Below are 16,691 nucleotides of genomic sequence, written 5' to 3' on the forward strand. Positions count from 1 at the left end.
GGAACTGAAGAGACAACCCACAGAATGGGAAAAAATACTTGCAAATCATGTATCTGATAAGAGTCTAGTATCCAGAAATAAAAAGAACTCTTAAAAATCAATGATAAAAAGACAAAAAAAAAGTAAGAATGGTCAGAGATTTGAATATACATCTTCCCAAAGAAGATATACAAATGCACATGAAAAGATGCTCAATATCATTAGTCATTAAGAGTATGCATGTCAAAACCACGATGAGATACCATTTCACAATGACTAGGATAATTACAATAAAAAAGTTGGACAATAACAAGTGTTGATTAGGAGTAGAGAAATTTGAACCTGTTGCTGGCAGGAATGTAAAATGGTGCAACCACTTTGGAAAACCATTTGGCAGTTCCTCAAGAAGTTAGACACAGAGTTACCAATGACCAAGCAATTCCACTCATAGATCTACACCCAAGAAAATTAAAAACATTTGTTTATAGAAAAATTGTATGTGAATGCTCACAGCATTATTCATCGTAGCTAAAATGTGAAGACAACCCAAATGTCCATCTACTGATAAACAGATAAACAAAATGTAGAATATCCATACAATGGAATATTATTCAGTAATAAAAAGGAATGAAGTACTGATGCATGTTACAATATGGATGGACCTTGAAAACATGCTAAGTGAAAGATGCCAGACACCAAAGGCCACCTATTTTATGATTCTATGTATATGAAATGTGCAGAAGAGATGAATTCACAGAGACAGAAAGTTGCTAACTGTTGGAGGGAGGGGAAATACAGCATAATTGCAAATAGGCATGGGTTGCTTTCTGCGGTGATAAAAATATTCTGGAATTAAATAGTGATGATGGTTGCACAAATTTGTGAATATACTAAAAACTACTGAAGTGTGCATTTTATAAGGGTGTATTTTATGTGAATTTTATCTAAAAATTTATTTTAAAATGAATGTGATTTTAACAGTAAGTTAAATTATCTCCTGTAAAGCTAGAGAAGTTACACAGTGGAATGGGACAAGCACTGAATCAGGAGACCTGCCACATCCCTGTTACCAAGATCTCTGTCTTGGTGTGGGTCAATCATTTATCCTGTCCAGTCGTTAGTGAGGTCTTGGCAAAATAAGGGGTTGGACTCATAGATTATCTCTAAGGCACCTTTAGTTTCATAGCTCAATATTTATAAGCCTGGACAAAAACTTAAAACTTGGATAAAACCCTAAAAGGAACCAGATGCATACTTGTGTACTCCTTGCTGTATTTTGGATATAGATGAGGCTCTATAGCATGATACGGAACCATACCATCCAAGTTCAAAGCCCTGCTTGGCTGCTTGCTAAATGCCTGCTCTTAGACAAGTTATTTCACCTCATTCCATCTCAACATCCTCCTCTGTAAACTTGGATAATAGGATTGCCTACTGTTGTAAATGTTAAGTGAGTTTGTGTATTGAAAGCACTAATTATAGAGTACACTCATAAAGGATGAAAACAAAGCAAAGGTGATCACAGCCTTTGGCTACTGCTAGAATGAATGTCTAGATTGCAGATAGAGATGTGTTTTGTCACTTTTGCAAATGTTATTTCTCCTGCTCCTTACAGAAAGTCTAAAGGTAGCTATTTAACAGGAGAATACAGAGTTGGAACTATTGAGTGACTTGAGCCAGGAGCTGAGGGCTGTCCAGCTCAAACTCTAGGGCCCTTTTCTTCCTTCCCAGAGACCACACTCCAGGATTCCAGGGGACTGTTCTGACATCAAGGCATTGCAGGGTCTCTAGGAGTAGTATGTGGAGGGATTAGCTAACTAGCATAAGAAAATGGTTTGGAAATTTGATAGGATTAGCTATGTAGTATGTATTATGTGGAGGGATTAGCTAGCTAGCTAACTAGCATGGAAAATGGCATTTGAAATTCTTCTGAAGATGACTCCTATGTTTTCAGTCCTCCTCTCAGGTGTACTCAGATGATTTTTTCAGAACCTGCAATTTTTCAAAATATACTTAGATTATATACCTTATGTATATTTCTCTAAATCATATTTCTACCCACAGATATTTTTTAAATGAATAAAAAAAGATTGGCCAGGTATGGTATCTTGCACTGGTACTCCCAGCTACACTGGATACTGAGGAGGGGAGGACTGCTTGAGGCCAGGAATCTGAGACCAGCTTGGGCAACACAGGGAGACCCCATCTCTAGAAAACAAACAAAATCAACTTCCGATGTGTACCATTCTAAATGGAAAACTATATTGACACATTTTCAGTAGAAGTTGTCATACCCTCCCTCTATGCAAGTAAACACAAGCTCGTTCTTTCACTATTAACATATCATTGAAGGTTAGCCATGAGTTCTGGATGTATATTAATAATTTCTAGATTTCAGAGACTATTATAAGTCACACAGTCAACTTTATGGAGATCATTCAATATTGTATGTTTAAAATAACATTGAATGTATTGTATTTGCTAGAAATAACATTATTATTGCTTAAAACTGACTGAATATTTCTGAGACAGATTTGTCGCCCCCTTTGTTCTTTTGTAGACAGCATTCCCTCCACCTAGTAAACCTGATTTCTGTAATTTCTATTAATGAATAATAATAATAAATAGGCCAGGTGTGGTGGCTTACCTGAGGTAACCCCAGCACTTTAGGAGGCCAAGGCCGGTGGATCACCTGAGGTCAGGAGTTTGAGACCTGCCTGACCAACATGGTGAAACCCCGTCTCTACTAAAAATACAAAAATTAGCCAGACATGGTGGTAGGTGTTTGTAATCCCAGCTACTCAGAAGGCTGAGGCACGAGAATCGCTTGAACCTGGGAGACGGAGGTTGCAGTCAGCTGAGATCATGCCACTGCACTCCAGCCAGAGCAACAGAGAGACTCCGTCTCAGGGAAAAAAAAAAAAAGGCAATAAATAATAAAAGCCAACACTTTAAGCACTGACTCTGTGCCATCATTGTTCTCTTACATATATTATCTTATTTAATACTCATTCAAAAATGATTATTAACTCCATTTTATAGATGAGAAAACTGAGGTCGAGTGGTGAAGTATCTTGCCTAAAGCCACAGAGCTAGGAGGTGGTAGCATCAAAGAACGGGGCTTTCCTGCTCTCTGGATCTTATTGCTGAACATCAGTCCACATTGCTTATTTCTCTCTCCACCCAAGCCCAAATTCATCTCCTCTGAGAAGAGTTCCATAAGTGATCCTTGCTCATAGGAGTTTTTCTTCTCTATTCTTTCAGCACTTACACACTCAGTTTGCAGAGCATTCATGCGTAATTTTTGGAAAATTTTGTTACTTTTTCAGTGTTATCAAGAATGCATAATTTGTGCATCAGGCTAAGGCTAAACTAAAAATCAGAGTCTGCGTCCTCTAATTTTTTTGAATTCTTCTGCTATGACTTGTGAGTAAAACAATGTTCTGAATAAAGTAGTGTTCAGCAGATACTATCAATTCACAGCTCATTAATCACAGTGTTGAGATTCGCATATATGTAACTGCTAACAAGTATTATAGCTCATTTCCAAATCGATTTCATTTACCAATGTTATATACTGCAACTACTCACCCTCGTATCTAATACCTTCAGTTATACAACTTTTCAAATCTGATGATGACAACAAGAATGGCTTGGATGTCCTCAGAACGTACACGATGTACAAATAAACAGCCCAAAGTCTTACTAACATGAGCCTTCCAAACAATGCAATCAGTAAATCTTGTCCTACAGGCTCAAGGAGCTCTCTGTTTTCACTGTCGTTTGTACCGTTCTCCACGCAGTTTAGCTGAGAAGTTAAATCCAGCATAAGTACATTAAAAAATGTATCTGATATTTTCATTTCCTAACAAATGAAGCAGAAATTATATTTTGCAAGTAGGAAAGGCATGTTTTCTCCAAATGAAACTTAAAATCTTACATCTGCTCATAAAAATGTTGAACATCTGAAAATATGAACAAATGCTGGAGTTGCAGGAATGACCTAACAGCTGTTGCACGCGCAGTGACGTAAAAAGCTGCAGACGCATTATTCAGCTATTCAGAAATAGGATCTGGAAAGCATTCTATTTTGGTACACAGCAAAAATTTATTTTTCTCTTGATAAGCCAGGACTTCAGAAGTTAAAAAGAAGAGACTGCTATCTTTAAAAACCTAAGTCGATATTTGCTACAATCATGCAATCTAGTTCTCCTTTCTACCAATTTAAACTAATAGTCCAGTTTTTGAAAGATACACAACCTAAACAATGTCCCTGTGGATGTTGAATTAATTAAAATTGGCAGGGCATTATGAACAAGCAGTAGTATAATTTTCTTGGGAGAAATTTTTAAAAACACTCTTTTTTCTTTTTTATAGGCATCTAAACATGGAGATAGAGACATAGGTAAGAACTGTAACAGAATAAGAGAAGAAATTTGAAATCTCCATATTTTTTCCTCCGGCCAGAAAATGAGTAGCAACAACCAGAGCCACCATGCTGGGCAGCACAGGTTGTAATGTGACGAGGCCCCTACCAGGGTTGTGCCACACTGTGTTAACAGTGCCTGCCAGCCTGGCTCCCACTGATTCTCTGAGCTCCAGCCATATTAGGTGCCTCCAATCCCTGCTCTAGTCCAAGTGCTTGCCTGATTCTGAGCCTTTGCATATGCTGTTCCCACTGCCTTGTACGCCCTTCCTAACCCTTTCTCCTATGGAATTTACACTACCCTCCAGAACTCAGCTCAAACGCTATTCCTCAAGGAAGCATTCTCTAACCTACAGATGCTGTTAGCCTCCCTGCTATACTCTGATCGCACCCTTCTCCCACTCAGCCCTTCCCACAACTGTAATTAAATAATTACATGGGCAATTTGTCACATAAGTGTGATCTACCCCCTAGACGGCAGGCAAGTTTTATGAGAGTTGTTTTTCAGCTGAATTCCCAGCACCCAGCAAAGTGACTTGCCCAAAAAAGACACTCAATGTAACGGTACATACATGGTACTTAGCTTCTCATTTTACTACCTCAAACAAAGCACTGTCTCTGATCTTCTGCTTTCCCATTTTTCTATACTTTAAACTTGATTCTCTGGCCTTCAATTAACTTAATGCCAGAAGAAAATGGATTCTGGCAGAAAACATAGCCAGAAATATGCATCATGCTCTTAAAAGACCACTTGGCTCCACAAAATGGCTCAGGTAAGAAACGCCAACTTGCTCCTTGGTCCAGTCTAATTTCTATTCTGGTGTTATTCCCTTTTGGTCTGGTTTCACAGTCTCTACTGAGGGAAACAAAAACACGAAACACACCGTCAGGATCTTGCGCTCCTCTTGGGGATTTCATAAGGCTATTTCCACAGCTGATTATCACTCTGACTTTGGGCAGGGAGAGGTTAAGAAAAAAAATGCAATATTCTGCAACAGCTGAAATAATTCTCTGCCAAAGCCTGGTTTTAAATTCAAAGTATGTTTTCTCTGTATGTAGAAGGCAGTAAAAGGTCTAAAGTTATAATGTGACATATAAATTTAGCACTCTAAGATGCAAAAACAGAGCAGATATTTTTATGCACTACTCATAATAATAATTACTATTGACTCTAAAGTAAGCAAATCCATATTTGTTTTCAAGTTAAGTGTGTTACTTGAGAATATTCGAAAACATTTGCTAAGGGGTGTGAACGGTGCAGACTCTCATCAAAATCCATCTGTCTGAATCTATTAACTGGCATTTCCCCAGCTGGGGCATTCCTCAAGTCCTACATAACAAAAGCTCCTTATGCCAGGAGTGAGGGCTGATACTGAACTTAGAAACTGGATTTATTTTATCCAGAATTAAAAGTTCTAAATGGATTTTGTAATCGTGTATCTTTAGGACCCAACTCTATCAAACACAAAACCAACAGCTGATGTCAAATAGAAAATTAGAGTTTGAGCTTCAAAGTCAAGGTAGCTATCACTGCTTTTCTATTTTAAAAAACAATTTGAAAATACTCATGTAAATTATTCAGGGTAAGGGGTGTTTAGCGTTTCATGTCTTTTCTATCCCCCCAATGGACTTCATTGCTTTCTGTTTTTCACTCAATGTTAATGAAGAGATGTTATCTTCAATTTTTAGCATTTGTATGTTTTTGAAGGACTATAATATTTAGATTATCCCAAATCAAGAAAACCACTTTCATCATCTATAAAAAGACTGCATGTGTTTTCTGAGTACATGGAAGGCCGCAACAAATGCCTGCAGATTGATTGTGATATGTTGGTCTTCCACATCCTTGTCAAGTTTATCCCTAACACCTTCCTTTCTGAAAATGGGTGCTGCTCCTCCAGACTGTACCGGAAATGTCATTTCTATTGCCCTGTGTTTACAAATCCTGGAATCTCTATTTTACTGCCACTCATCTTTTCTCTTTCATGTATATCAAAAGTATATATGCTATATTGTGCATGTGTGCATATATATATATATAAATAATCTTTTGAGGACGTAAACTGAAAAGCTTCAGAACCTACACATCAAAAAGTTTGTCACAGTTTGCTTGTTTATCACAGGCAGCTTGTCATTTTCCCCCCAAATCCTCACTGGCACAACGGTGTTTTTAGTGTAGCCAACACTACTTCCTACTGATGCTGAGTAAGTGAAGGCTCAGTTTAACTCTTCTCTAGCCTTCATCAAATCCTAAAATGGCTGGCATGTGAGGCCTCAGTAGCTCCAAAAGGAAACAGGATGAGGGCCTTTCTCAGATACTCTGCTTCCTGTTATCAACCAACAGTTCTGCCCACCAATATCTCCTGATTATTCTATACACAGAGAGGAAAAAAATGAATAAAGAAAATTCAAAATGAACATAAAGTCTTGGTATAACCTAGGATTTTGAGTCCTTTTCTTCACAAAACCTTTTTATCTGAGGTACTTTAAAGAATTTTTTTTTATCCCCTTCCCTTTGGTCCTATTATGGGCTGAATAAAACTATCCAAATGTTACACTCCAAAGGCGAAGAAAAGATTTTTTTCAAAAAGAGTAAAAAAATGCATACACTGCATCCCCAAATCACCTTAGAAAGTCATCTTGAGTCCTGTGAAGCCCAACATTGTCTCTGTTACTAAGAAGCAGAAAAGTGGCCGGGCGCGGTGGCTCACGCCTGTAATCCCAGCACTTGGGGAGGCCGAGGCGGACGGATCACGAGGTCAGGAGATCGAGACCATCCTGGCTAACATGGTAAAACCCCGTCTCTACAAAAAATTAGCCGGGCATGGTGGCGGGCGCCTGTAGTCCCAGCTACTTGGGAGACTGAGGCAGGAGAATGGCGTGAACCCGGGAGGCGGAGCTTGCAGTGAGCCGAAATAGCGCCACTGCACTCCAGCCTGGGCGACAGAGCGAGACTCCGTTTAAAAAAAAAAAAAAAAAAAAAAAGAGCAGAAAAGTGAAGCTGAAAGAATATATAATTCATCAACCGGTGAAACGTGCAGAGGTGATTTATCCCCATCTCCCTCTCTCTCTCCTCCAGAAACACAAGCACTGCACTTCAGTGGAGTTAAAAATCAGCGCTTCCTTTCAGAACAACTGTAAAAATCACAGGATGTAGAGAATCATTTTAAATAGGTAGCACAAATAAACAGGAAATCCCCTCTTCCCCACCTGGCCTTCCTCACCCACTCCCTATGCTAGGAAAGCCCTAAAGAGATTTATCAGCCAGAGATTTCTGCCAGAGCTGTTTTCACTTAGTTAAACACCACTTTTGTGCACTAGAGTTTTACAAAGAGGCCATTAAGGTAAGAAGCTAAATTTGAAATGAAATTTTCTTTTAGTGTACGTCAATAAAGTAATGTAAACCAAACACAATACCCTATGTACTAAGTTCCCTGTTTAAAACTATTGTCTTTGGTTTCTTCCTGTACTCCGACATTAAGGGGAGAAAAAGGAAACTGTATTCAGAGCATCTGCTGAGTGATATAATGGTGTTTTCGAAGTGGGGTTCACACATCAACAGCCTCACAATTCCCTGAAATGGTTCTTAAAAATGCAGGTTCCTGGACCCCCATCTGTTCAATCTGATTTTCTGACAGGTGGACCCCAAATTATGTATACTGAAAAACACCTCAAAGTGATTCTTTTGTATTAAAACTTGGGAATTAATAAAATGACTGCTTCTAATGCTTTCACATAGGTTATCTTATGTATTAGGTTAAGAATATATCTCACCTCAGTTCTAGTAATCCATTCACACTCAAGTGGTGCTCTTATAATTTGTTGTAGATGTTTATCCCCCTTTAAGCAGCAAAAACCATGCTGTTCTTCCATCTTGGACACTTCACGGTCACATGCCTGAGCCACGTGACTTTGTTCAAGTTCCTAAGCCTGTGTGAACTGTGGTTGTATGCTATGAAAACTGAGCATAATTCTGACCTTCTAGGACTGTTTTATGTATTAATTTCAATCACAAGTGTGCCTGGCACATGGTTAGCACTCAAAAAGCTGTATTTTAATTTCCCTTGAGAAAAATGGTGCACCTAAGAAATAGTTGTACATTTATCCACAATTAGTGCTTCAATCTTAGAATACCACACTAGAAATGTGATGATAAACCAATGTTACCATTTAAAATATACATGTAATACCTACATATCTTCTGTCTCCATTAAATAAGTTCTCTTGAGAGACGATATTCATTTTTTAAATGCTGGCCAGCTTGAAATATTTTCCAAATGCTATTTTGAGTACACTTTAGACGTATGTGATTATTATATTTGGTAATTTTTATTTTGCATTTATATTTACTTTTTTTTAAAATTTTTAGAGACAGGGACTCACTGTCACCCAGGCTGGAGTGCAGTGGCACAATCATAGCTCACTGCAGCCTCAAACTCCTGGGGTCAAGCGATCCTTCTGCCTCAGCTTCCCAAGTAGCTGGGACTACAGGCATGGGCCACCACATCTGGCTAATTTATTAAATTTTTTGTAGAGATGGGGTCTTGCTATGTTGCCCAGGTTGGTCTTGAACTCCTGGCCTCAAGGGATCCTCTGGGTTCAGCCTCCGATAGCACTGGGATTACAGGCATGAGCCATTGTGCTGGTCCCTTTGGTGATTTTTATAATCAGTATTATTTTTTATCATTGTAAGTAAATAAGTATAATTTAAAAAGAGGGTGAAATTTGTCCTTTCAAATACATGGTAAAGGTGCTACATTTATGCACTTTGAAAATGGATTTGCTCTTTAAAATAGTTAAGTTTTTCATGGTCAAACCTGATGAAAAGAAGGTGATTGATCTTCAGGAATCCAAAACTGAAACCTGAACAAAGAAGAGACTTGTTTTCTTGTGCGGTTCAAAAGTTGACAATTCCCAAGAAGAGCTTCAAGTGTTGCTGAGATAAGGTGGCAGGCCACTAATATCATTTGAATGTAAATATTTCAGTCTATGTATATTTTTAAAGTCTGTCTTATTTTGGCTTAATCATACCTAAAACATCATATGACATTTGTTTTTCGTATACTGTCTCTCCACAGGGTTCTTGAATTAATATACTTGAGTGTGAAAATTGTTTTTCCAATGATAACAATTTCCATCTATGGCTTCTAGATTAAGCAGGATCCAGGTATAATGGTGATAGAGGCTGTGATATGAAGTAGTTTATTCTAAACCAATATGTTCAGAGGTTTGAGGGCTCTGGAAACAGATCATGTGGTTCTTAATGTTTACTTCAGAGTTCTCTTTAGCTTTGAGAACCCAGGCCAGAATCAGCTAACATTTTAGAGTCAAAATGTCCTCATTATAAAATGGGTATGTTAATAGTACTAACCCTATGGGCCACTAGAATGAAATAAAATAATGCACGAGACGTGCTTAGCACAGTCTCTGTGCTAAAACATAGCAAGGACTCCATCACTGCTAACTATTGTCGGTTTTTCTAGAATCTCCATGATGGCAAGCAACCATTTCAACCAGAGTGCAGGAAATGCATTTTTCTTTTTGAAAGATTGACCAAGAAAGGGTAAGAGGGATGGGGTCATGGGATACATGGAAGTTTTTCTCTAAGCAGCACAACTATCTCTCTAATTTAGCTCATAATTCCTTTGTGGTCTTATAAATACAGTATTAATATTTCCCACATGCCAAATAGGGGCCCTTGAGTCACAACAAGAGTTCTAAGGGTGCCAGTGAGTTATCAGTGGAGGTAGGCATCAAATTCAGCATTGTTTCAGCTGGGTTCTCTAACAGTTCACTGCCTTTCATATGCAGATGATTTGTTATGCAATAATTTAATTCAATGGTTTTCATAAAGAATGCCACAGAGGGCCTGCTTCATGTGTGTTACTTTATTGTTGCCCTGGTGACATTTGAAGAGCCCTCAGGCAACTACAGCTATCTGAGGATTCCAGAGAGCAACTTCATGTGAACAAAAAGGCTAAGTGTTACGGTGCAGCTGTTCAATGCATATTCTCAAGTTCTGCACCATGAATTAATACTTTTCTTCTGGCTTATTTTCTTGCCTCTAGTCAGTATGTTAAATAAATTCAGCTTTTCATGAGAGGTTGAACTTATACATAATCAAATAACTCAAAAACTTTTAATGAAATTTTGTGAAACCTTTTAAACTATGTACCCCTAAAATCATTCTGTAAATATACTAAAGTCATGGAATTACAGGATTTTTTTTTGTCTTTTAAATTCTTTGTGACAATTTAGTTTTTATGACATATAAAAAATTGTATATATTTAAGGTGTACAACGGGATGTCTTCATATACATTGTGAAATGACTATCACATTCCAACTAATTAACATATCTATTCCCTGTATATAATTACCATTTTGGCACCCTTTGACCAAAATCACTCCATTTTCCCCTCTTCCCCGCTCCAGGCAACCACCATCCTACTTTCTACTTCTATAGTTTGACTATTTTAGATTCTACGTAAAAGGGAGATCATGCAGTATTTCTCTTTCTGTGTCTTGCCTACTATTTTGCTTAGCATAACTTCCTCCAGCTTCATCCATGTTGTCACAAATGACAGGATTTTCTTCTTTTTTAAACCTGAATAATATTCCATTGTGTGTGTGTATGTGTGTGTGTGTGTGTGTGTGTGTGATTGTATAAAATCACTTTCTTTCTTTTTTTTTTTTTTTTTGAGACAGAATCTGGCTTTGTCACGCAGGCTGTAGAGCAATGATGCAATCTCGGCTCACTGCAACCTCCACCTCCCGGGTCCCAGTGATTCTCCTGCCTCAGCCTCCTGCGTAGCTGGGATTACAGGTGCCTGCCACCATGCCTGGCTAATTTTTGTATTTTTAGTAGAGACACGGTTTCACCATATTGGCCAGGCTGGTCTTGAACTCCTAACCTCAAGTGATCCGCCCCCATCAGCCTCCCAAAGTGCTGGGATTACAGGCGTGAGCCACCGCTCCTGGCCAAAATCACATTTTCTTTATCTGTTCACTGCAGGACATTTAGGTTGTTTCCATATGTTGACTATCGTGTAAAATGCTGCAGTGAACATGGGAATGCAGAGAGCTCTTTACAATCCTGTAGGACTGCTTGATCATATGTTCCATTCTGAATTTTGGGGGAACCTTCCTACTTTTTCCATAATGGTTGTATAAAGTTATATTCCTAACAACAGTGAACAAGGGTTCTACTTTCTCCACATCTTTGCCGACATTTGCTATCTTTTATCTTTTTTACAATAGTCACCCTAAAAGGTATGAAGTGATATCTCATTATGGTTTTGACCTGCATTTACCTGATAATTACAGATGTGGAGCACCTTTTCACATGTTTATTGGCATTCTGAATTTCCTTTTCTAAGAAGTGTCTATTTTGGTCCCTTGCCCATTTTTTAATCCAGTTGTTTGTATTTTTGGTATTGATTTGTATGAGTTCCTTATATATTTTGGATATTAAGAGTTTTAAGTAGTCATTAATAGCTGTGAGCTCTTTGAAATCTTGCATAAAGCAGGTCATCAAGAAATGCTATGAACAAATAAATATAGCCTTTTACGTCCATTTCAGATTTCTTTTCAAGAGGGTGCTTCTAAAGTAACTATTGCGCAAAAGTCCTCTGAAAAAATAGGTCAAGAAGTGATATCAGTTCCACTATGGAAATTATTGGCTACAAAGTGTCTGTAATCACCACACGTATTTCTGACACTTACTTTAACTCTAAACTTGCAAATCCAAGTAAGGGCACCGAGGCTTGGAGTGAAGACGCCCCCAGAGACCGGAAACCCAGAATTTCCAGGAGCTCTGGTAGGTTCTGCTAATTCAACAAAAGCCTTCTTTAAAAGCCATGGAGGACTTCATGCTCTTTGCAACATCCATGCAAGAAAAGAGGCTCTCATGATTATGCTATAAAGTTGTAGAGCAAAGTAATTTAGACAGAATGGATATAAAAATAAACGGGCTTGTGATGCTCATGAGAGAGAAAAGAAAATGGATTCACATATTTTTGTCATCCTGGAGTCAGAAAATAATTTGCAGACTATCCAATAGAGCACCAAAGGATGAGCTTTGCAAGCTCCTCATCTGGCTCTGACCCCCCTTGCTAGTCTTCTCTTCACTGGCTCTTTTTCTTGCACTTCAGGTCCCAGCAACATCAAATAATTCCTCATGCTGCTCCGTGCATCTGTTTCTTTGCCTGTGCTCTGTACTTCCTTCTCCTTCCAGTGTAATTTCTCTCCTTTAAGGCTCAACTCAGAGACCTCCTCTGTGACAAGCCACTCCACCCTCTGATCTCTCCCTACATCTTCATTCTTGTTTTCTTGTTTTGTTTTGTTTTGAGGTGGGGTTTTGCTCTTTGTTGTCCAGGCTGGAGTGCAATGGTGCAAGCTCGGCTCACTGCAATCCCTGCCTCCCAGGTTCAAGTGATTCTCCTGCCTCAGCCTCCCAAGTAGCTGGGATTACAGGCATGCGCCACCATGCCTGGCTGATTTTGTATTTTTTTTTTTTTTTTTTTAGTAGAGAACAGGTTTCGCCATGTTGGTCAGGCTAGTCTCGAACTCCTGACCTTAGGTGGTCCACCTGCCTCAGGCTCCCAAAGTGCTGGGATTACAGGTGTGTGCCACCACACCTGGTCTGTTCTTCATTCTTCTACTACCATACTTGTCCTAAGTTCCTTGAGTGTTAGTTAAAATTAGGGTCTTTTTCATCTTTTTTCTCAGTGCAGAGCATAGCAGAGTGTCTGACACATGATGTTCACTCAATAAATGTTTTTCATGGATGAATGAATGTAGCTAATTTCTCCCATTTGCATAAAAAAACCAAGGGCCAGAGGTTATTTGCTCCTTCCTCTTAATTATGTGATGGTCTTTACGTAATTAGCAACTAAGTATTTTTTGTATAATTGAGACATTAACTAAATTTGAATAATCAAGGAGGCCTGTAAAAGGTCTCACTGCTTCCACTCTTGGCCTGTATTGTCTTTTCCTTCCACATTTTACATCATAAACCAGGTGAATTGCTCACAGCAAATCATACCCCAAAGCATATCCAGACTCTCTCCCAGGCATAAAGCTGCAGAGGAGCTGGCTACCTGTCGACCCCATTCCCTAAACCTCTCCCTGTAGCTCACTGCATTCCAGCCCTGCCCACCTCCCCACCTATCCACAGACACTTCCACAGGCTCCTGCTTCAGGACTCATTCCCGTCCTTTTCCTTCTGCCTAGAACATTCTTTCTCCCAGATCTCTGAATGTCCCTGCTTCAACACCACTTCTCCAGAGAGTTCTTTTGCAACGAACTGAATGTCTGTGTCCCCCTCAAATTTCATATGTTGAAGTCCCAACCCCCAGTTTGATGGTATTGGGAGATGGGGCTTTTAGGAGGTAATTAGGTCATGAGAGGAGAGCTCTGGTAAATGGGATTAGTGACCTTATAAAAGGGACCACAGAGAGATTTCTCACTCTCTTTCTGCCAGGTGGGGATACAACCAGAAAACGGTTGTCTGCAGACTGCAAAATGGTCCTTTTTAGAATCCAACCATGCTGGCACCCTGATCTCGGACTTCCAGCCTCCAGAACTCTGAGAAATACGTCTGCGGTTTAAGCCACCAGTCTATGATATTCTGTCAGAGCAGCCCACACCACCTGAGACACCTTTTCTGTTCATTGTATCCCAAATAGCACCCCCTTTCAGTCTCCAGCTTCTCTACATTTTTTGTTTTTTCTTCATAATATGCTAATTACAACACTTACATATAGTTATTATTGTTTCCACCACTTGAATAGAAGCTCAGTAAGGCTGCTGATTTTGTCAGTTGTGTTCAACACTGAATCCTCAGTGCTGTGAGTGTTTAGCATAGTAGGTCCTTAAGAAATATTTGTTGAATAAATTAAGTGAATGAGAACCTTGCAATCTTCGTAAAAATAAAATCATATAATTTGGGAAATTACTCAAGAAATTCATTTTTTTCTTAAACTCTATAATAATAATGATAATAATAATAATAATTTTAAGTGGCCAAAAGGGACATTTCCATTTTAAACAGATGACAAACATATTTTTAAATTTCAGCTATGCTGGCTGGGTACGGTGGCTCAAGCTTGTAATCCCAGCACTTTGGGAGGCCAAGATGGGCAGATCCTTTGAGGTCAGGAGTTCGAGACAAGCCTGGCCAACATGATGAAACCCCATCTCTACTAAAAATACAAAAATTAGCTGGGCTTGGTGGCGGGCACCAAATCCCAGCTACTCAGGAGGCTGAGGCATGACAATAGCTTGAACCTGGGAGGCGGAGGTTGCAGTGAGCCAAGATCATGCCACTGCACTCCAGCTTGGGCAACAGAGTGAGACTCAGCCTCAAAAAATAAAATAAAAAATAAATTTCAACTATGCCTTCTCCATTTCCCTCCTCCCTCCAACATGCAATAACAACAGCAGTATTAGGTTCCTTTAGCTGTAAAATGAAAATTTCCAATTGCACCTTAGAAGGAGGCTGGAGGGTAGGAGTTTATCTGGCACAAGTCTACAAAGCTGACAGGTGCACCAAACACCTGAGGTTGGGATCATGGCAGGACAGGTGGGGTTTGGGGTCATCAGAGGTAAACTGAGGAGGAACTCACTTAGGAGGGAGCAAGTCAATGCCTTTCATGTCCTTCAGTCTTTCCTTTAATCAGTCACTGAGTCAGTTAGGCTGCCAAGAAACACTTATGAAACATGGGAAAGGCTTTGCTCTTGAAGGTAAGTAAGGTACCATCTTTTCTCCTGAAAAGTTGGTACTCTAGAGACTAATTTCAGAAACAGGCATCTTGCTCAGGAATGAGTGGCCAAGTATGATTTCACTTATAATCACAAGAGTCAGTGTGACTTGAAGTTGGGCTGTAATCTCAAACTTGTCACTAAGGAGATAGGTGACCTGCAACAGGTGAATTTAACCTCTCTGAAGTTCCATCAGCTCTTCTAAAATGAATGACTTGGACAAGATCATCTATAAGACATCCATGTGCTCTAATACTTCATGACTCTGAAAAGAAAGAAGAGGTAAAAATACTGGCTGGAATTCCCTTGTCATATTAAAAAGCTTGAAGAAAAATAAGTCATATAATCTATCAACAATTCACCTTTTAGAAGTTTGCTAGGCACTGATTTGCAAGAGAAGTAAGAGAAGGCATCCATTCTTGTATTTCCTCAACAATTAGGTTATTTTACTATGTGGATTATACAGCAGAGGGTGAAAGACTTTTTTATTGCAAGACAAAGTTTCTCTATTCTACTACAAAAGAAATCTTGCTGGTGAGACAAGGACCAGATTGAAATACTCAGCAGAGTGGATGGAAAAGGGGGAAACTTGAAGCCAGATGAGACCCCAGTCTGCACTTCACTACCTGCACTGAACTTGGCCAAGCTCCTTCACTTACCTCATCTTTAAAGTAATGATCGGGACCTCAGTGTCATGGAAGGATGACATACGGAAAAACCCTTAATCAGGGCCTGACACACAGCGGACCCTTGTCAGGGCCGGTCCTCCTGCCCTCTCACCCCCAAGACATAAAAGGAGAGACCCTCAAGAGGTGGGAGTGGGCATCACTAGAATGGAATTGGCAAGGAAACCATGAAGGGCTTGAGCCAGCTCTTTAAAAGTGGGCAGGATCTAGGTAGGCAGAGAGAGAGATAAAGGTATCTGACCTGGAAAACATTCCATGGCATAAGCCATGAGCCTGAAATAGAGTTTAGAGCCATTTCCAATAACTGATGGAAGGACAGCGCCAGGCAGGCGGTAAACTAACACCTGGAAAGGTTGTTATGAAATAAATACACACACACTCCTACACCCCCCACCCCCCCGCAGCGCACACACACACCACACACTCACACATTTTAAAACACAGCCTGTATTTTAAAAAGCTTTTCTGGTAATTCCGATGCTCCGTGAGGTTTGGGTGTCACTGGCTGGATGGAGGAAACAGCAGCTGACTGACCTGGACAGGATAGAGCTCACACTGGGCAGCAGGAAAGTGACGGGAAAGGTCAGCACTGGAGTAGGAGCCTGGACTCAAATCCCCCCTGCCACGCCCCTGCCATGGAGCCCTGGGAAGCCACATGATGTTTCCTATCCTCATTTGTCTCATTAATGCAATAGAGATCACGGCACCAGCTTTGTCTCCTGTGAGGGACTTTTGTTACAATCTGTTGATTTTAAACCACTGTTATATTACATTCATAGACTAACACTTAGCTGTAATGCGCTAGAGAAAAAATCAGGATCACCATTAATCCCCATC

At 39.6% G+C, this 16,691-nt stretch overlaps 1 protein-coding gene and 1 long non-coding RNA gene across 7 annotated transcripts in view; both read right to left on the minus strand.

Annotated features, from left to right (window-relative positions):
* STARD13 (StAR related lipid transfer domain containing 13) overlaps window positions 1-16,691 on the minus strand; it is a 573,658-nt gene that overhangs the window by 215,480 nt on the left and 341,487 nt on the right. The gene's annotated exons all lie outside the window — the stretch shown is intronic.
* LINC02344 (long intergenic non-protein coding RNA 2344) lies at window positions 15,230-16,650 on the minus strand. The gene is made up of 2 exons (NR_146541.1): window positions 16,389-16,650; window positions 15,230-15,433 (listed from the first exon to the last, which is right to left on the minus strand). It is a non-coding gene; the product is annotated as a long intergenic non-protein coding RNA 2344 (long non-coding RNA).

Source organism: Homo sapiens, chromosome 13 (assembly GCF_000001405.40).
Source record: "Homo sapiens chromosome 13, GRCh38.p14 Primary Assembly".
Taxonomy (NCBI): Eukaryota; Metazoa; Chordata; class Mammalia; order Primates; family Hominidae; genus Homo; species Homo sapiens.